The sequence below is a fragment of the Homo sapiens genome, chromosome 9 (genome assembly GCF_000001405.40).
Source record: "Homo sapiens chromosome 9, GRCh38.p14 Primary Assembly".
Taxonomy (NCBI): Eukaryota; Metazoa; Chordata; class Mammalia; order Primates; family Hominidae; genus Homo; species Homo sapiens.
Genome location: NC_000009.12, coordinates 85,083,267 through 85,106,205, shown reverse-complemented (window position 1 = coordinate 85,106,205; position 22,939 = coordinate 85,083,267). Strand labels below are relative to the sequence as shown.

The following is a 22,939-nucleotide window of genomic DNA, read 5'->3' as shown; positions in this document are numbered from 1 at the left end:
CAGAGATTGCGCCACTGCACTCCAATCTGGGCGACAAAGGAAGACTTTGTCTCAAAAAAAAAAAAAAAAAAAAAAAAAGAAAGAAAAAAAGAAAAGAAAAGAAAAGAAAATGCGTCTGGTGAAAATATCTTCCAGGAATAAAGCAGACATAAAGGCATCTTAAGGCAAAGGAAAACCTAAATAATTTATTGTTTAAGGGGATTGGTTTATCCCCTTAAAAAGGTCTAAAGGAAGTTTTCCAAACAGAAAGGAAACAATAATAGAAAACGTGGAACTTCAGAAAGGAAAGAAGAACATTGGAATGAGTAAAAATTGGGGAAAAATTTATAGACTATTCCACTTCACATGCGTCACTTAACTCATATGTGGCTACTGAAGCAAAAATAATAAAACCATCTGATGTGGTATTTAATGAGGTATTTATTTAATGTGGTATTTGATGAGGAAAAACTCAATATAATTAGATTTTGCAGTGGAGGAAAGTAAAGGAAACTAAGTGAAAGTAAGGCTTGAAGTGGTGAAACTTCAATACCAGTAGACTATAATAAGGTACATATGCATATTATAACATCTAGAGCACTCACTAGAAAACTGTAAAAAACTATATATTCAAAACGAGTATACATAAATCAAAATGGAATCCTAAAAATATAAATAACTCACAAGAAGGTAAGAAAACAAAGGAGTGAGAATTAGAAGGAACAAACAGGAATTAAATCATGAAATGAGAAGTTAAATCCTAACTTTTAACAATTACCTTAAACAGTTTAAATATACACTGGTTAAAAACATACCTTGATACAATGTGGATGAACAATATGCTGTCTATATGAAGCATATTTCAAATATAATGAAATGTTAATTATAAATAAAAGGATGGAAAAATACCATGCAAACATTTCATTTTTTCAAAAAACAGGAATGACTACCTTACTAACACATTAAGTAGGTTTTGGAGCAGAGAAAATTACCACAGACGGAGGAATATTACATAATGATGAAAGGATGAATCCATCAGGAAAAAATAAAGATCTCAAATGTACCAAAAAGCGGAACTTCAAAATACACGAAACAAAAACTGATAGAACTGTATGGAAAAATAGGCAAATCTGCAAATATAGTTGGGGACTTCAACAGTCATTCAGCCATTGATAGAACTACTAGACAGAATATTAGAAGAGATTTTTTTAAAAATGCATACTATCAGCCAACAGGACTTAATTGGCATATATAGAACGTATCACTCCAACAGCAAAATACTCATTTTTTTTCAAGTGCTCATGGGATCCTCACCAAGATAAATAATGCCCTGGGCCTCAGTATAAGAATTAAAATCATAGTGAGCACGTTCTCTGAACATCATAAAATCAAACCAAAAATAATAACAGGAAATTAACAGAAAAATCTTCAAACACTTGGAAATTAAACAACACACTTTAAAATAATTAATGGGTCAAGGCGGAACTCAAAAGAAACAAACTTAAAAACATTGAACAGAATAAAAATGAAACACACCATATGAAAATGTGTAGGATGCAGCTAAAGCAGTGTTAAAATTGAAATGTATAGCTAAATGCTTACACTAGAAAATAGAAAACCTCTCAAACTAACAAAGTTCCTACCTCAAAAAAAATAGAAAAAGATGAGAAAAATAAACCCAATGTGAGAAGAAGGAAAGAAATAGTAAAGAGTGGAATCAATAAAACTAAGAACAAGAAAATAATAGAAAATAGAAAAAAAAAGAAACAGAAAGCTGACTTTTTGAAAAAAAAATTAACTTCTAGGAAGGCTGACAAACATAAAAAGAAAGATGAAACAAATAATCGGCATCAGGAATAAAACAGGAGATATTTCTACAGATCCTGCAGCAATTAAAAGTATAATAAGGAAATACCATAATCAACTTTTAGCTCATAAATTTGACAACTGAAAACAAATTGCACCAATTGGACCAATTCCCCAAAAGCCAGAAATAACTAAAACTCAGTAGATATTTTAGGTAAAACAGATAATTTGAATATTCCTATAAACATTAAAGAAATTGAATTTGTAATTTAAAATCTCCCACCAAAGAAGTCATTAGGCTTACGTTGTTTTTACTAGAGAATTCTGCCTAACATTTAAAGATGAATTAACATTAATTTTCCACAATCTCTTTCAGAAAATAGAATAGTAGAAAACACTTTCCACTCATTTTGCTAGGCTAGTATTACCCAGATAACAAAACCAGAGAGTACAAAAAAAGTGAGAGAATACTAAAGTCCAGTATCCTTCATGAACATAGAAATAAAAATCTTCTACAAGTTTTAGCAAATTAAATCAAGCAATGTATAAAAATAAGTATATGTCATGGCCAAGTGAGATTTATTCTAAGCATGTAAGTCTGGTACAATCTTCGAAAAATACCAATCAATATAATCTATCATACCAACAATCTAAAAAGGGAAATTATATGGTCATACTAGTTGGCGAAGGAAAAGTATTTGACAAAAACCACCAATTTATGGTAAAATGACTCCACAAATGAAATAGAGGATGAACTTTCTTAACAAAATGAAGAGCATCTATTAAAAAAAAAACCTACAGCTAACATCATACTAAATGATAATAGATCGCATGCTTAACCTCTCAGATCAGCAACAAGGCAGTTATGTTTCCTCTCTCCACTCCTACTTGCTATAGTACTGGAAGTTCTAGCCAGCATTTAAGACAAGAAAAGAATTAAAAGGCAGGAAAGGAAATAAAGAAATAAAACTGTTTCTGTTTGTAGATAATATGATTGCTTACATAGAAAATTCCAAGAAACCTACAAAAAAATAACAAGACTCAAACTCCTAGAACTAATAAGTGAGTGCAGCAAGTTTGTAGGATACAAGGTCAATATGTGAAAGACAACTGCATTTCTATGTACTGTGAACAAGCAAGTGGAGACTAATGTAAAATGCATAATATAATTTTCAATTGCTCAAAAAAAAATGAAATACTTAGGTACACATCTAACAAAACATATACAGAATGTGTATACTAAAAATTACAAAATACTGTTAAAATAAAGTTTTTAAAAGACCTAAATAATTATAGTGACATACCATGTTCATGAATTGGAAGACTCAAAATGCTAAAGATGTTATTTCTCCACAAACTGACCTACAGGTTTAATGCAATTCCTATAAGGGTCTTTTTGGAGGCATAGGCAAGCTTATTCTAAAACGTACCTAGATAGGTAAAGATCCTAAAAGACTGAAGACAATCTTGAAAAAGAAGAATAATATGGGAGAAGTAACTCTTGCTGCAGTAATAAAGAGTGTTGTATTAGTGTTGCGTTAGCAGGGAGATAGACATGTAAATTAATGGAACTGCATAGTGAACCCAGAAATAGACCTGCAAAAATATGCCCAACTGATTTTTTTTTTTTTTTTTTTTTTTTTTTTGAGACGGAGTCTCGCTCTGTCGCCCAGGCTGGAGTGCAGTGGCGGGATCTCGGCTCACTGCAAGCTCCGCCTCCCGGGTTCACGCCATTCTCCTGCCTCAGCCTCCCAAGTAGCTGGGCTACAGGCACCCGCCACTACGCCCGGCTAATTTTTTGTATTTTTAGTAAAGACGGGGTTTCACCGTTTTAGCCGGGATGGTCTCGATCTCCTGAGCTCGTGATCCGCCCGCCTCGGCCTCCCAAAGCCAACTGATTTTTTGACAAAGGTGCAAAAACAAATCAATAGAGGAAAAGATAGACTTTAAGAAATGTTGCTGGAGCAATTTCATATCCTGGACTAAAAGAAAATGAACCTCAACCTAAACCTCACACTTTATGCAAAAGTTAATTCAGAATTGATCACAAACTTAAATGTAAAATCTGGGTTCTGAGCTAGGCAAAACTTCTTAGACTTGACACCAAAAGCATAATTTATAGAAGGAAAAAATTGATAAATTAGACCTCATTAAAATTAAAAACTTTTATTCTATGAAAAACCCTGTTAGAAGGATGAAAAGACAAGCTACACAGAAGGGTAACATATTTGCAAATCATGTATCCAAAAAAGAACTAGTGTCTAGAATCTATAAAGAGCTCTCAAAATTCAGTTGTAAAAAATACCAAAATATTCAATTAGAATATGAGTAAAGGTCATAAATAGACATTTAACCTAAGATGATAAAATTGATCGACATCATTAACCATTAGGGAAATGCAAGTTAAAATACCAATGAAATATCACTATGCACATGTTAGAAAGGTAATATTTTAAAAATTACAAAATCAAATGACAAATATGGAGACACTACATTGCTCATATATTGCTGATGAGAATATGAAATGATTTAACCACTAATACTAATATACAGATACAACCACTGTGGATTAGTACACAGCAATTTCTTATATAACTAGTTAGACTTTGGAAACTTTTTTGAGAGAAAAGGAAATCTACGTTAATGCAAAAACCTGTGTGTAAATATTAATAGAAATTTTATTTGTAATAGTCAAAAACAGAAAATAACCCAGATGTCTTTCAATAGGTAAATGATTAAACATACAGTGGTTTATCCATGTCATGGAACACTATTCAATGGCAAAAAGGCACAAATGATTAATGCATATACAGTAACCTGAACTGATCTCCAGAGAATTATGCTGAATTAATATAGTCAATCCCAAAATGTCACATACTGTATGATTCCACCTATGTAGAATTCTTGAAATAACAAAATTACAAAAGTGGAGAACAGATTACTGGTTGGTTAGGGTCATGGGTAGGAGGAAGGAGGATGTGGCTATAAAAGAGCAACATGAAGAATTATCATGGTGGTGGAACTGTTCTGTGTAAATGTCAATATCCAGGTTGTGATATTGTTCCATAGCTTAATAAGATATTGCCATTGCCGGAAAGTTGTTAAAGAGTACAGGGAATCTCTCTGTATTTTTTTTAACAAATGTATGTAAATCTCTAATTATATCAAAGTAGAAAGTTTAACTTAAAAAATTTGATGGAAAAAAAACACTCTGGGATCATGATTATAGAATAGAACATAAATTGCAAAATAGTCATGAAGTAAAAATAATGTAATCTGGAAATGATAAGTCTTTAGTGAGGATGAGGAAGAGAGTTTAAGAGCACTAATTTTAGCATTTTTCATAGAATACAGTCAATTAATTTTAGAACCTTCTTCAAAGAAATAAAACATAATAAGGTGATAAACATTTATGTATGGATCAACAATTTTAATTTATTTTTGTTGTTAAATTTAAGTAAATTAAGACAATTTCTATTTAAAATGCAACGTGTGGCTGGGTGTGGTGGCTCACATCTGTAATCCCCACACTTTGGGAGGCCAAGGCAGGTGGATCACTTGAGGCCAGGAGTTCGAGATCAGCCTAGCCAACATGGTGAAATCCCATCTGTACTAAACACACATACACACACACACACACACACACACAAATTAGGCAGGTGTGGTGGTACACACCTGTAATCCCAGCTACTTGGGAGGCTAAGGCATGAGAATCGCTTGAACCTGGGAGGTGGAGGTTGCAGTGAGCTGAGACTGCACCACTGTACTCCAGCCTGGGTGACAGAGTGAGACTCTATCTGAAAAAATAAAAATAAAAATAAAATAAAATAATAAAATAAAATAAAATAAAATAAAATGCAACATGTGTAGTTTGATCCCATGTTGATTATTTCTGTATCTGCCCATTTATCCTAATTTGGGTAATGAATGATGTTTAATTCCTCTTAATAATAGAAATTTAGAGAGAGTCAGATTTAGGATGAACTTTTACTTTGTAATTTTCTGTGATGTTTGAATTAGTCATACAAAAATGTCTTACTTTTCCAAAAGAGTCACTGAATAGAGATCAAAATAAAAAAAAACAAAAAAAATCAATTTGCAAAGTAACAGAAAAATAAATAAATGTAAACATAAATGACTTAGAAATAGATATCTCAATCATCTTGATATTGAAATTAGCATAAAAAGAATTTAAAATAGTTGACTAGTCTGCTCAGGAAATTAGAGGAAAACAATTGAGTTTCATCAGAGATTTAGTATGTTTTTAAAAAGATCAAATAAGAAATTTAGAACTGAAAAATACACATTTAATATTAAGAACTCAATGACATGTTTAAAAGCAAAACAGATACAGCCAGACAAGACTAGTAAATGAAGTCAGTGAAAAAAAATTCAAACTAAAGTTCAGAGAGAGAGCGAGAAAAGGTAAGAACTGTAGAAAAAAAACCTGTGAGAGCTACTTGGAAAACAGTAGGCATAGTGTAAAATATAGGAAATTCGGCCGGACGCAGTGACTCACGCCTGTAATCCCAGCGCTTTGGGAGGCCAAGGCAGGTGGATCATGAGGTCAGGAGATCAAGCCCATCCTGGCTAACACGGCGAAACCCCGTCTCTACTAAAAACAGAAAAAATTAGCCGGGCGTGGTGGCGGGTGCCTGTAGTCCCAGCTACTTGGGAGGCTGAGGCAGGAGAATGGTGTGAACCTGGGAGGCAGAGCTTGCAATGTGCCGAGATTGCGGTGCTGCACTACAGCCTGGGCAACAGAGCGAGACTGTCTTAAAATAAATAAATAAATAAATAAATAAATAAATAAATAAATAAATAAATAAATAAAATAAATAAATATATTTATATGAAATTCAAGTCCCAAAAAGCAGCTCAAGTGGGAGTAAAATATTATCTTCAAAGAAGCAACAATTAGATTAACAACTACTTTTTCAATAGAAACAATGGAAGCCAGAAGAAGAATGACATCTTCTACTAGATTAATATATTAAAGAAATATTTTAAGAAAAAACCAAAATGAGTTCAGAGAGAAACATAGAAATTCAGAGGAAAAAAAACAACAATAGAAAAGGCAAGTGTAAATGAATATTAACTAAATAACACAATAATGGTAATGTTTTCCTCTGTTTAAAATATATTTAGAATGAGATGCATTATAACCATACATTAAAAAAATGACAAAGCAAATGTACTTAAAGCATTATCAGAGAGGTAGTAAAAGTAATAATTTGCATTATCAACTTAGTAATAAGTACCAATAAGCTAGTCTACACACGCTTGTCTACAGAATAGCTACTTAAAGTAGAAAAGAAAATGTATAACTAATAGAACAATGGAGGAAAAAAATGGAATAATAAAAATAATGTTTTATTAATCCAAAAGACATCAAGACATGAAAACAAAGGAACAGAAAACCAAGATTAAGATGGTGGTTGTAAATGCAAATATATTGGTAATTAAGTGAAAATAAAATACTCTTCTGGTTAGTATTTAAAAGAGAATGATTTGTTTAGATTAGTATATGTAAATTTGGAGGATACATAAGAGTTCATCCTTTTTTTTTTGTTTGTTTCATTTCAATAAACTAATTTTATCTTAAAAAAAAGAGAGAAACAAAGTGGACTAAATACTCTAATTAAAAATCCCAGGCTGGGGGCTGTGACTCACGCCTGTAATCCCAGCACTTTGGGAAGCTGAGGTGGGCGGATCACCTGAGCTCGGCAGTTCAAGAGCAGCCTGGCCAACACAGTGAAATCCCCCTCTACTAAAAATACAAAAATTAGCTGAGTGTGGTGGCAGGCGCCTGTAATCCCAGCTACTCAGGGGTCTGAGGCACGAGAATCACTTTTACATGGGAGGCAGAGGTTGCAGTGAGCCGAGATTGTGCTGCTACGGCACTCCATCCTGGGTGACAGAGGGAGACTCTGCCTAAAAAAAAAAAAGAAAAAAAAAAAAGAAAAAGAAAAAAAAAACCCCAGAGTGTCAGACTGAAGAAAAATATAAAACTACATATACGCCACTTATAAAACACACATCTTAAATATTAGTAAAATGATATTTCAAAACACATCAAACACAAACCAAAAGAAAGCTGAGGTAGGTAGCCCATGCTAGTATCAGACAAATCAGAATTAAGGCAAGAAGGATTTCTAGAGATAAAGCAAGTTATTTCATTATGATAAACATGTCAATCTACCAGGAAAATATAACAGTTCTAAATCTGTAGAATGTTCTAATTACTGAACATAGCATGACTTCAAGATATATAAAGGAAAAACTGACTCAATTAAAAAGAGAGACAAATCTACAATCATGGTGGGAGACTTATAAAACTTCTCTCAGTAGTTAGTAAAACAGACCAAAAAAATCAATAATGTTATAGAAGATCTTAACAACATGACCAATAAATACAGAATACTGGAACTGAAACAATGAAATACAGTTTGTTTTCAAGTTACATGAAATATTTACCAAAATTTCTAAGAAAATAGTAAATATGTAAGGGTTTAAAATATACAATGTAAGTTTCCATTTCAGGCAGCCAGGAAAAGAATAGCAAAAGAAATTCAAAGGAAGTAGATGGAAGAACATAATAAAAACACAAATTAGTGAAATAGATATAAAATAAAGAAAATATACAGAGCCAACACTAATTATTTGAAAAAAATTAATGAAGATGATAAACTTCTAATGATACTGATGAAGAAAAAAAGTACTAGTAACAGGAATAAAGTAAGAACATCTGTGTATATCCTACAACTATTAGAAAGATTATAAGAGGATAGCCCAAACAATTTCACTTCATTAAATTTAAAAATTTACATGCCATGGACAAATTCCTCAACAAACAAGAGTTGTCAAACCTGACCCATGGAGAAACAGAAAATCTAAATAATTTTTAAAAATGTTTAAATAAATTGAATAATATTCTTGCCAGAAGGAAAACTCCAGGCCCATATGGCTTCATCAGTGGAATTTTCCAAATATTCAAGGAAGAAATAGTACCAATCTCATATAAGCTCTTCCCGACCAAAGAAAAGATGGAGCACCTCCAAACTTGTTTTCAGAGGACAGTTCAATTTTGATACGAAACCCTGGCAAGGATCCTAGAAGAAGGAATATTGCAGACCAATGTCACTCATGAACATAGACATGAAAATCTTAAATGGAAAATTATACATCAATGAAATTACTGCATAAGGGTGGTTTAACATTTAAAACATTAACCAGTATAATTCACCACATTAACAGAAAATAGAGAATTATTTCACAATTCTTATTGGAAAAAAGAAAACAATGAAGAAAATTCAATACCCATGATTTTCAAAAAATCCTTTTAACAAACTAGAAATAGAACAGTTCTTCTTTAAGTTGAAAAAGACTTCCACAGAATCTTACAGTAAACATACTTAATAGTAAAATATGAAAAATCCTCGCCCTTGAGATGGAATAAAACAAAGATGCTCAGTTTACATCTTCTCTTATTCAACTTATACTGGAGATTCTAGCAAGTATAATCAGGCAAGAAAATTAGGCGGCATGCTAAAGACTGGAAAAGAAAAAATACTCTTATTATTTAAAAATATTATGTGTGTACATAGAAAATTCAAAAGAATCTGCAAACAATTAGAATTAATGATTTAACTTAGCAAAGTGACTAGATACAAGGTCAAAATAAAAATAGTTTGTTTCCATACAAGAAACAAATAAACAATTAAAATGGTAGAATCTGTATACTATTCAAATTAATGTTTGTATTTAGCAAGATAAAAAGGAAAATTATAAATAGAAAATTAAGGAAGCATCAATGTGCTTAGAAGTAGACATAACAACATTTGTGAAAATCTCTACGCTATAAACTACAAAACATTATTGAAGGAAATTAAAGATCTAAATAAATTGAACAATATGCCATATTTGTGGACTGGAAGCCTCAATATTATAAACATGCCAATTTCTCTAAATCTTATCAACAGATTCAATTCAGTCTTAATCAAAATCCCAGCAGGGGTGTGTGCATGTGTGTCTACCTGTGTAAACTGAAAAGCTGATTCTAAAATGGATATGGAAACGTAAATGGGCAAGAATTATTAAGGCATTCCTGAAGAGCAAAAAAGCTGGAGGACCCATACTAACAGACACCAAGGATTGTTATCAATCTATGGTGATTAATATAGTGTGATACTGACACAACGATAGACATACTGGCCAGCGTAATAGAAGAGAGAATCCGTAAACAGACCTACACATATATGATGTGCTGGTTAATGACAGTGACATTGCAATACATCGAAGAAAGAATGGTCTTTTTAATAAATGGTATTGTGTCAACTGAATATCCACATGGAGAAAAAATAAATCTTGACTTTTATTTCACCCCATACACAAAAATCAATTCCAGATGGATTGCAGATGAAAATATGAATGGTATAACAATAAAGCTTTTAGAAAAATGTCTTCATGATTTAGAAGGATGTCTTCACGATATCTTAAGTGTAACACAAAAAGTACTAGTCATAAATCAAAAAATTTTGATATACTGGACCACATTAATAATACAAACGTTTGTTCTAGGAAAAGATACTATTATGGGAGGGAAAAGACAAGCCACAGAGTGGAGTTACAAATTTGCAAAACAAGGAATTCATGTGCAGAATAGATAAATAGATTTTATGTATTTTATATATCTTCATATACATATATGTATACATTAATCCTAGTAATCAATAAAAAGGCAAGAAAAAACAATAGAAGAAAAGAGCAAAAGACTTGAACAGCCCCTTACAGAAGAAGATATCCAAATGGTGAATAAACATATGAAAAGGTGCTCAACTTCATCAGGCATCAGGGAAATACGAAAGTAAAACCACAATACAATACTTCTACATACCCACCAGAATGATTAAAATGAAAAAGACAAGAAAAAAATCATGTTGGTTGGATTAATCGTATTTCTCCTTGCATTGCTGGTGGGTCTCCTAAGTTGGCAAAGACGTTGGAAAACTACAAGTATCTGCTAAATTCAAATATGCAGATCCTGTGAGAGAAGAGTTCCACTGTTAGGTATATGTCTAACAGAAATGCAAACACATCTTCACCACGAGCATGTATGAGGATGTTCATAGGAGTACTATTTGCAGGCCAGGTGCGGTGGCTCAGGCCTGTAATCCCAGTACTTTGGGAGGTCGAGGCGGGCGAATCACTTGAGGCCAGGAGTTCAAGACCAGCCTGGCCAATATTGTGAAACCCCGTCTTTACTAAAAATACAAAATATTAGCCGGGTGTGGCGGCAGGCACCTGTAATCCCAGCTTCTCGGGAGGCTGAGGCAGGAGAATCTCTTGAATCCGGGAGATGGAGGTCGCAGTGAGCTGAGATCATGCCACTGCATTCCATTCCAGCCTGGCAGACAGAGTGATACTCCATCTAAAAAAAAAAAAAAAAAAAAAGGAAGAAAGAAGTACTATTTGCAGTAGCTCAATGTTAAAAATAAGCTGAGTGTCCATCAAAGCTGGCTGACCCGAAAATGAGTCTTGGACCCATTAAACAATAACTCTCCATTTTAACCTTCCCCCAGCCCCTGGAAACCACCATTCTGCTTTCTGTCTCTATGAATTTGAACTACTCTAGGTGCCTCATGGCTCCACCCAGAAGTGGAATTCTTGGATCATACTGTAATTCTATCTTTAATTTTTGAGAAACTGCCATATTGTCTTTCACAGAGGCTGCACCATTTTACATGGAATAATTTAGAGTAAGCTTTTAAGTGAAAAGGAAATTTAAGATAGAAGCTGAATTCAGTTGAAGAAAAACAAAGAAAATTACGTTTATTTTCCACATCTGTGTTTGTCAACTGAAGAAATGCATACCTGCTATAGTAGTTTGAATCATGGATTCTGCTGTCTACCTTCTGAAGTTTGGTTTTAGTAACTTGCCCCTTATTATTTTCTCATCTGCAGAATGCCTAGAAGGATGACTAGCATGAATCTGTCATGTCACTTTATATCCTGTGCCTCCACGTGATAGAAATGCAGGCATTCCTTTCCTTTTCATGGGCTAAGAAGTAAGCAGCAGCTTTATTTATTTAGAGACAGAGTTTCACTCTGTCGCCCAGGCTGGAGTGCAATGGCACTGTCTCAGCTCACTGCAACCTCTGCCTCCCGGGTTCAAGCGATTCTTCTGCCTCAGCCTCCCGAGTAGCTGGGATTACAAGCCTGTGCCACCACGCCCGGCTAATTGTGTATTTTTTTAGTAGAGACAGGGTTTCACCATGTTGGTCAGGCTGGTCTTGAACTCCTGACCTCAGATGATCCACCCACCTCAGCCTCCCAAAGTTCTGGGATTACAAGCATGAGCCACCGCACCCGGCCGTAAGCAGCAGCTTTAACCAGGGACATGTATTATTTTCCCCCCTTCTAGCTCTTCTCTTCATGGACATCATTATAGCACTGTCCATTGCTCACCAGCCTTTCTGCTCTCCATTCCACGCCACCTTGTGCTGCTGGGATCATCTTCCCAGAACACAGCCACAATCAGATCACATGCTATCATGTGTTACACAGCATGCAGTACACGCTACCACGCAGTCATATTACATGTTGTCATGTGCTACGTGGCACGCAGTACACACTGCCACACAGTCATATCATATACCATCATCATATATCACATGTCACACAGTAAATTGTTCTTCTGTTTTCTTAGATTCTGTATTTGTCTATTAGGCATCCATTCACAACAGGGCCAATTATTTAACTATATTTTTTTATCTTCTGTATTCTTGATGCTCTGGCACTTGGGGGCCCTACAGACCCAGGGAGAGACTGCCCTTCTGAAGGAAGGCCAATTCTTAGAGATAGCAAAGGGCTCAGCCTGGAGTGCACCTTTCATAGGCAAACTAACCAACCCATTATCTATTTCCCCAACTGCCTCTCTATGTAAAGCTCACACGCCAAGCCCATATTTCCCATGCCCTAAATCATCTCAGGACTAGGTATCCAGCAACTAGAGACCACAACCTTGCCCCAAAGTCCTCTGGAATTATTCAAACTGGCCAATCCTGAACTGTTTCCCAGGGAAGTCTCAATAAAAGCTCTGGCTTCTGCCTTCCCCTCATGCCTTTCTGCCTCCTGGCCAAACCTGGTGCTCCTCTGTGGCCCTGTGTAGTGGACTGTGCTTCTTGTTTCAATGGGAACTGTGAGTAACATTGAATTTTTCTTTCAATGGCATTGACCTGTTCATGTTGCCATTCAGTCATCCCCCTATGAATAAAATCCCAGATATAACTTTAATACAACCCTACCATACAATCAAATCACACACTGTATCACACTTTACATGGTCCATGTATTGCCTGGTCATATCACATGCTATCATCACATATCACAGAGTGCACACTACAACATGCCACATACTATCATATATCACATGGCACACAGCACACACTACCCCACAATCATACGACATGCCAAAACTGTAATCTCTCAACCACCATAAAGGGTGCATCCCATCCTACTATTAGTATATTAAGTGTGGATTTTCTACCAGGTAATTCCATCTAAGTGAGGATGTTTGGTTGCAAGACACAATCCCAGAATCAAAATGTCTTAAACAACAAGGATACTTGGTATTTTCCATAACTAGTTAGGTAAGTAACTTTAACCTCAATTTAGAGAAGAGGAAACTGGGACTCAGAGGTGTTAACTGACTTGCCCAGCACAAAAAAAAATGCTGATAAGTGTCCAAGCCATCACTTTTAACTCCATCTTCTAGGTCCCCAAAGTCCTTAATATGGAGACTCCATATCTAACTTGCTCCACACCCACCTTACTCCATACCTACCTTGAGCTGCCTGGTTCGAAATTTTCTTTGCCTTCCCCATTTCTTATTCTAAGAGGTCAGAGTGAGGGAGCTCTTGCTAAAAGTCAAGACTGACACTTTTTCAATTTTGAGACAGTGAATCAAAAATTGTATGTGGAGTATTTGCTGTATCCCGGCATATGGGAAAGGTTTAAAATTCCATGGTCTGGTTCTTGCCCTCAAGGAACATCCAGTCTGGTGTGAGAGACAAGGCATTGAAGCTTAGGCAATCTCTGGAGGTCCATAAAATGGGTTCAGTCTGTAATTGTGCAGAGCAGAGGAGAAGCTGGGGTGGGCTGCAGACCACCTAGACCTTGCAGCTGGGTAGGACTTTCAGAGAGTGAGTGAAGAAGCATTCAAAGTGAAAGTTGCACCATGAGCAAGGGCAGGGAACCAGGAATTTATGGGGAAATTAGTAGATATTAAACAAGAAATCCCCCAAGTGATTGGCACTCCCCTGCTCTCTTCTCTTCACACTCCTACCTGTCCTTTCCTATAAGGAAAGAGGTATGAATGAGCTAATACTGCAACTACCCTTTCTTTTTCTTGAGAATTCTCTTTGACCCCCCTGCCTCCCATTTTCTCTGCAATCACAATCTCTTGCTGTCTATTGACTCCTTCCCTTTAGATGCATGTAAACATCCTTAAGTCACTCCTATCTTAAAAAAAAATGCTCTTGCACACCTGTTTCCATCTTTCTCTTCCCTTCACAGCCCAACTTCTTCACAGAGCAGTCAATGCACTGAATTCCACTCCTTACTTCTACCTTCCACCCACCACAGCCTGAATTTCATCCTCGTCATGCCCTTTGAAATTTTCACCGAGGTTGTCAAAGGCTTTCATTGTCCAGTCATTTCTGCCGTTGTTTGTGCAGCATTTGGTGCTGGCTCTTCTCTCACAGGGAACCCTTTTCTGGTTCCTCGAATCTCACCCATTCCTGATTCCTCGAATCTCGCCCATTCCTGGTTTGCCACTCATTCTCATTCTGGTGTCCTTTGGAAGATCCTCCTCCTCTGCCCCTCCTTAAATGCCAGTTCGCTTCATGATGCAGACCTGGACCTTTCATCACTGTGCACGCTGTACCAGGGATCACCAACCCCTGCATTGACTTCAATTCCCGTGAGTCTCAGATTTGTGTCTTTGGGCCAGAGATTTCTCCTGAGCTTCCAATACTAATGGACATCTGTATTAGTCCATTTTCATGCTGCTGATAGAGACATACCCGAGACTGGGTAATTTATAAAGAAAAAGAGGTTTAATGAACTCACAGTTCTACGTGGCTGGGGAGGCCTCACAATCATGGCAGAAGGAAAAAGGCACATCTTACACAGCAGCAAGCAAGAGAGAATGAGAACCAAGTGAAAGGGGTTGCCCCTTATAGAACCAGCAGATCTCGTGAGACTTATTCACTACCATGAGAACAGTATGGGGGAAACAGCCCTCATGACTCAATTATCTCCCACCAGGTCCCTCCCATGACATGTGGGAATTATGGGAGCTACAATTCAAGATGAGATTTGGGTGGGGACACACCAAAACCATATCACCTCCTCACCAGGATGTTGTCCCCCAAGGCTGTCAAACTCAACATGTCTGTAAACAAGTTGACCATCTCTTTCCCCTAGCTCCATGCCTGCTCCTCTACTTCTACAAACAGCTCTACTACCCTCCTCAAGCCAGAAACCTGGGCCTAGCCCTCAATCTTCCTGTCACTGCCCACAGGCAATTGGTGACCACCTCTCATGGACTCTAAATGTCAAGCACACATCTCCCCACTGTTCTCTCAATCCCTCCTGCCACCATCCTGGTGAGACCATCATTATCTCTCTCTCATCAGGATAATGGAGGCAACCTCCTAACCGAGCTCCTTACTTCCATTCTTCCTCCCTCACAGCTGTTTCTCTGCACTGTAGCCAGAATGCACTTTCAAAAATTCAAATGTGGTCCTGTCGCTCCCGTCCTTAAAAATCCTTCAATGGCCCTTAGGCTATCACTCGTCCCCCGGTGACCTGGCTTGCCTCTCCTGTCTCATCCGTGACCATATTCCCTTCACATTCTTAGCCCTGTTCTTCCAGGATGTCTTTCGTTTCTAGAGTGTGTCATTTTCTCTATTGCCTTTCAGTCTTTGCAGATGCTGGTCCCCCTTGTCTGCAACATTCTGCCTCCCAAATGCTTTCCTTGATATTTTGAGACTGGGAGAGGTGCCCTTCCTGTCTTCTGTATGGCATCTTCTGCTTCCCTTGCATACCATGCTTGATTTGACTCAAGACTGTGAGCTCCATGAGGTTTAAGACCATGGCTAACGTTTCAATTGCTGAGTCCCCTGGATCTAGCATTGTGCTTGGCACACAACTGGCATTCAAATTTCTGTTAAATAATGAAAAAAAAAATTGTATGCAATGACTTTGACACATTCCTTTTCTTTCTAGGTTCATTGATGGAGAAAGGGATCTGAAGATGGTAAATTGACAGTTGAAGAAGATATAACTTCTTATATCTTCCACAAAGAGAAAAACCCTCATATGAGGAAACACCTGGGCTTGGAGTTCTGGCTCAGAATTTAAAATTTTCAATCTAGTGTTATAGACATATAGAATATTAGAGCTGAAAGGGCCATCAGATATCACCATTGCCCAACCTCCTGATTTTACACATGAGGAAATCAACATGTAAGTTGTCCAAATCTGTAATCAACCTAAGCTAGAACCAAAGTCTTTGGGGTTTCATGGCTACACACACTGAAACCACACAGTTTCTCAGTCTCATGGCTCTTTCCACAGCTGGGGTTAGCACCATGCTCCAGTTCCAGGGAGGAAGTACAAACAGCTGCTGCCACTGACCACATCTTATTTTCCTCCCTGGACCTACCCTGAACTCAGAGTACCTGGGAGTCTGCTTTTCTCTGAAACAGCCCACATGCAGCCCAGGTGAAAGAAATTAAACCACCACAATTTTCTGTCATCGCTCCCCATAAAGACAGCATGCTCATCTATCAGACTTGGGAATCTCCCATCTTTTTGTGCCAAAGGCTAACACTAAAATCCTTTCTCCATAATCTCATGCTGCTGCCAGAATTTTTTTTTTTTTTTGGTAAAATGATGTTCTTTCCAGATGCCTGTTTATCATTATCAGATAGTTCTTTCATAAAATGTCCATGTGCTCACATTGCTCTCCTAGGCACTATTCAAAGCACACAGGAAAATTAGTCAATGCTGCTCCAGTGACAGAAATTTTAGAACTCACACACAAACAAGCTGTCTATAGGCTAGAGGCACTTACGGTAGGGCTGCTCAGACCTGGGCCAGTACTGAGAGGTTTTTGTTGATCTTACAAGCAGGCACTTACTTCTGGGGAGGAGATAAAGAAGGGAAGAGAGCTCCTGCGTTTACCCCTAAGGTCAACTACTTCTCTCTGCCTTACATGAGTGACAAAGAGGTGAGATTACCCCAGAAGACAAATACAGAATGAGTGGGGGTTGGGTGGCTCCAGGGAGGGAAGAGGTGGCACAGAGAGGAATTGGGGAGGCCCCTTTAAAAAAAAAAAGCCAGGCACGGTGGCTCACGCCTGTAATCCCAGCACTTTGGGAGGCCGAGGCAGGTGGATCACCTGAGGTCAGGAGTTTGAGACCAGCCTGACCAACATGATGAAACCCCGTCTCTACTAAAAATACAAAAAACTAGCTGGGCTTGGTGGCACATGCCTGTAATCCCAGCTACTTGGGAGGCCGAGGCAGGAGAATCGCTTCAACCTGGGAGGTAGAGGTTGCAGTGAGCCGAGATCGCGCCACTGCACTCCAGCCTGGGCAACAAGAGTAAAACTCTGTCTCAAAAACAAAAAACAAAAATCACAGAAACCATTTTTTTAGAGCAGTTTTAGGTTCACAGCAGGGGAGGCACTTTTAAGAGAAGAGTGAGAAGTCAGACACTGAGTTAAGATTCCATTTCCCTGATGAGAACACATGGACACATAGAGGGGAACAACACCCACTGGGGCCTATCGGAGCGTGGAGGGTGGGAGGAGGGAGAGGATCAGGAAAAATAACTAATGGGTACTAGGCTTAATACCTGGGTGATAAAATAATAGGTACAACAAACCCCAATGACACAAATTTACCTATGTAACAAACTTGCACATGTACCCCTGAACTTAAAAGTTAAAAAAAAAGAAAAGATTTCATTTCCCGTACCAGGGAGGTAACAGGTGGGTGGAGCAGAGAGAGGCATATGCCCTTGGGCACCAGCCTATTAGGGCACAGGAAAAATATCCATCTGCCGACACCAGCTGTGTGGTGGCACTGTCTGGGGAGAGAAGGGGCAAACCCTCTACCTTGCCATGGAATCTCTGTCCGCTGCCCACTGTGATTCATGTAGAGCAGAGGTCAGCAAAACTACAGAACCGTTTGAAGGCCAAAGCTGGCCTGCAGCCTGTTTTTATTTGACCAGAGAACTAAGAATGGGTTTTATATATTTAAATGGAGTTTGAAAATAACAACCAAAAAGACACGTGGCAAGAACCACATCTTTGTGCCCCCCCAACCCTCTGCCCAAGCCTAAACTATTTACTTTCTCTCGTTTCACAGAAAAAGTTTGCAGACTATCATGTAGGGAACCAGCCTGTCTGGATGACTCTGAAGGGTATTATGTTGGTTTTTGCACTGGGCAAATTCCCATTTATGGAATTGCCTTGATGGTTTCGGGTACTGATTCCCTCAAGGCTGGGCAAGGATAGACCCTGATCTCTAAAGGTGCAGGGGAGGGGCAGCCTCATGCCCTGGGAATCTACTGCCCAGTATTGCCCTCATGGGAATTTCAGGGTTATTCTAGTGTTCAAGATTGGCTTGTAAATACAGGCTTACAGGGTATTTTTTCAATTAAACAATATTTTTCAACTGAAAGACAAATATGTGCATTTTTTTTAAAAAAGGAGAAGTTAAACAATGAAAAGAGTCATCCTTCCACCCTGGGCTCCCAATTCAAAAGAACTAACATTAGAAGTTTCTTGTGTATTCTTTGTGAGTGTGTCCATGTGGGTCTCCTTTTACTTTATACAAATAGGAGCAAGTTATACCACTGTCCTGGCTCTTGCTTTCTTGATTTTTTAAAACTTAGTAATATAATGAAAAGATCTTTTCATGTCAGAAAGTACAAATCTGGCTTCTTTTTCATAGCAGCATAGTATTCCTTTGACTGAATGAAGCACGTTTGAATTAACTATTTTCTTATTAATAAAAGTTAAATCATCTTCAGGGTTTGTCTATTACAAAAGTACCAAATTTCAAATCCTTATACATACAGCTTTGCGCAAATTAGTGAATATAACTAGAAAATAAATTCCTAGATGTAGAATGGCTAAGTGGTGCATAGATTTTAGATTGGATACACACTGACAAGCAGCCCTCCAAGAAAGTTGCACCAATTCACACTCTCACCAACAGTCAGTAAGAGATCCTTTCCCCTGTGTATTTCTTAGCACTAAGGCTTATTGTTATTACCAGTTTGCTAGGTGAAAATGTCATACCATTTCACCTAGTTGTTTTAACTTGCAATTAAAATTATGAATGAAATCAACTGTATATTTTAACTTGCAGTTAAAATTGTGAATGAAATCAAGTGTATATTTTCAGTTATTACTATCTAATTTAGGCTGCAATCCTAAATTAGCTTGTAATCCCAGCACTTTGGGAGGCCAAGGCTTGAGGACCTCTTGAGGCCAGGAGCTTAAGACCAGCCTGGGCAACATAGTGAGAGCCCCCATCTTACAAAATAAAAATTAAAAAATTAGCCAGGCATGGTGTCATGCATCTTTAGTCCTAGCTACACAGGAGGCAGAGGCAGGAGGATGCTTGAAGCCCAGGAGTTTGAGGCTGTAGAGAACTGTGATTGCACCACTGTACTCCAGCCTTGCAGGCAACAGAGTGAGACCCTGTCTCTGAAAAGATAAAAAACTTTTTAAAGTTACATAAATAAATAAATAGCTAGTTAAACCTAATGATTAAGAAGTGTGAGTTCTGGAGGCAGGCTACCTAGGTTCAAACCCTAGATATATTACTTACTAGTTCTGTTATTTAGTGCAAGTTATTAATACTTATTTCTTCATGTCTTTAAAATGAAGATGAAGATAACAGTATTCATCATATAGAGTTGTAAAGATTAAGTGATTTGATGCAACATAAATCCCTTAGAACAGAAAGTGCTGAATAACTAAGAGTTGTCATTTTTTATATTTGTTTTTAAGAGATCTGCCGGTTTATGCTTTTGTTCATTGATGTGTTTGGGTTTCTTTTTTTAAAATCTCTCACAACTTGTGTACACACCTTCCAGAATATAGGCTGCATGAGAAGAGGGACTTTATCTATTTTGTTTACTCACTGTATCCACAAATCAATGCCTGGAATTTTGCTGATACATAGTGGGCAAACAATCAGTATTTGTTACATGAATGGAGACGTTGTTAAATCATGATATATTAAGGAAATTAGGCCCTATGACTGTTAATGTGGGTTGCAAATAACTTGTTTCCCACTGTGCCATATTTCTTTGGCTTTGCTATTTTTATTTTTTGCAATGTAAAAGGCTCATAATTTTTTTCATAGTTAAGGGTATCATTCTTTGATTCATTTAAAATATATTTTGCTATATGGTGTGAGGTAGTGCTCCAACTTAAAGTTTTCTGCCTTGATGTGATTTTAAGAACACTTGGATGTGCCTCTGCCCAGAATGTTTCCTGCATGCCAATTGTCCATGAAATCCCACTGCATGCATTTTAGGCTTTAATTCTGAGGCTCTGGTCCATATTCCTTTGAAGTGGTCTTAACATTGTCAGCTCTCAGACTTTTATATAGACAAATTCATAGGCTATTCCTGAAGTAAGTTTTACTATGATTAAAAGATGGGACAATTGTGACCACACAGAACACTGGTTGGTGTCTAGAGGGAATATTGCATCAGAGAGTCAAATGTTTAGGGAGAGGATGTTGGAAATTCCACTGATGAATTTTGCTTTTTTCACATTAATTCTAGTACTGATTTAATTAGAATATCTTGCTTTTAAGGTAGGTGCAATTTTGTTTTGGGGTTTTCTTACATAATTCAGGCATGTCAATTCTGAACCGCATGTCAGTCCTTGAGATTTGAGGAGACGAGACAGTCCAAAGCTCGTCCAAATATTTCTGAGAATTCCTGGAAGTCTTAAGTTCTCCTGCTTCTTTGGCCTCTTCAACTCCAGCTTGTTCATCATTGTCTGTGGGATGCCTCACATGTGGAAACACAGATCCTTCTTCATTGTCACTAACCAAGAATCAACAAATACTTCTTACTCCAAATATTTTTGGGGTTAGTGGCATTTACTGAATAGTTTTCTGGGTTAGCCTTTCTGCCACCACATTGGTGCCATTTTTCTTTTTGTTCTAAACCCTATGTCTCTGCTCCTTACCCCCTCTCCACTGGATTGGTCTAAGACTTTGCAATTTTTCTTCCTCTGTTAAGACAAGTAGCACCCCCCACCTGAAACTTCACCCAGCAGGAAGGGGAGAGAGTGAGTCACTTGTAACCCTACACAGCATTTTTCCAACAAAGACAATTTTGTACCTGGGTGGAAATCTGGTTCCAGCTGTCAAGGTCACAGAATGTTCTCTACCTTGTTGCATTTACAGTTCATCCTTGAACAACATGGGTTTAAAGTGTGTGGGTCCATTTATATGTGGATTTTCTTTACCTCTGCCACCTTTGAGACAGTAAGATCAACTTCTCTTATTCCTCCTCTTCCTCAGCCTATTAACATGAAGATAATGAGGATGAAGACCTTTATAATGTTGCACTTACACTTGATGAGTAGTACGTATATTTTCTCTTTTTATGACTTTTAAATAACCTTTTCTCTAGCTTATTTTATTATAAAGAATATAGTATATAATACATATAACATAAAAAATATGTATTAACCAACTGTTTGTATTATTGGTAAGGTTTTTGGCCAACAGCAGGCTATTAATAGTTAAGTTTTTGTGAAGTCAAAAGTTACGTGTGGATTTGACTGGGTAGGGGAGCTGGTGTCCCTCTATCCCCCACGTTGTTCAAGGGTCAACTGTGCATTCCATTTAAACAAGTCCACAACTGCTTTCTCTCATCATATTCCAACTACAACCACACATGGACATCCACATGCACACACTTCTCTCCTTTGTTCCCCTTTACATATTACAAAACACCTTAACAAGCAATATTAAAGCCAAATGTATTAAAATAATTGATAATCTTTATGATATGTGGCTGAATTTTTACTGTTTCGTTGCAGTGCAATAGATTAGACAGATGGGTTCTAAACTAGATTCAGAAATTAGAATTGCTTACTGGGTAGAGCAGGCCTTAGTGGTCCCTTAACATTTTGAAGTCTTAGGAGAAAGTCCAGACTAGCAGACAAAAGGCAACAGATGGAAGGGCATAGTCTAATCCTTCCTCTAGCATGGGGGAGTCTACAGAGACTCACTCACACAATGTTCCAGAAGGTGAGCAGAGGCTGATGACAGAGAATCCAGAAGCTAATCACACATGACGGAATTCATCTGGGGTTCTCAGCTAATAGGTGTTTAGTTATCTAAACTGCTAATGGTGGAGTGTCACTGAAATCTGATGGCAGGGCGTGGGCCTGGCCAATGGGCAGAACTGCTCCCCTGAAAACAGGGTGAAGGAGGCTGATAAAATGAGTATGGTATGCAGCAGGCTACTAAAACAAGAAAATGGGGAAGACTTAAATGGAAGGTGATATCGTTTGGCTGTGTCCCCACCCAAATTTTATCTTGAATTGTATTTCCCATAATTCCCACATGTTGTGGGAGATACTCAATGGGAGATAATTGAATCATGGGAGCAGTTTCCCCCATACTGTTCTCGAGGTAGTGAATAAGTCTCATGAGAGCTGATGGTTTGATAAGGGGTTTTCCCTTCCACTTGACTCTCATCCTCTCTTGCCTGCCACCACGTAAGATGTGCCTTTCTCCTTCTGCCGTGATTGTGAGGCCTCCCCAGCCATGTGGAACTGTGAGTCCATTAAACCACTTTGTTTTTGTAGATTACCCAGTCTCGGGTATGTCTTTATCAACAGCATGAAATTAGACTAATACAAGGTAAACTTGATCATGAATCTCTGGCCCACCACCTATTTTTGTAAATAAAGTTATATTGGAGCACAGCTACTCCTGCTAACTTGCATTTTGTCTCTGATTGCTTCTGTGCTCTCACAGCAAAATCAAGTAAATTGCAACAGAGGCCATGTGGCCTACAGAGCCTAAAGCAT

At 37.6% G+C, this 22,939-nt stretch overlaps 1 long non-coding RNA gene across 3 annotated transcripts in view; it reads left to right on the top strand.

The window, feature by feature from the left end:
- LOC107987088 (uncharacterized) overlaps positions 1-21,479 on the top strand; it is a 57,909-nt gene extending 36,430 nt beyond the window's left edge. Inside the window, exons 2-4 of one of the 3 annotated variants that reach the window (XR_001746809.1) lie at positions 16,078-16,108; positions 16,983-17,083; positions 21,417-21,479. This is a non-coding gene — a long non-coding RNA (uncharacterized LOC107987088). Of the gene's footprint in view, positions 1-16,077; positions 16,318-16,982; positions 17,084-21,416 lie in introns of all 3 variants that reach the window. The other 2 variants (XR_001746807.1, XR_001746808.1) reach the window with 2 other exon arrangements.
- The last annotated feature ends 1,460 nt before the right edge of the window (positions 21,480-22,939 follow it).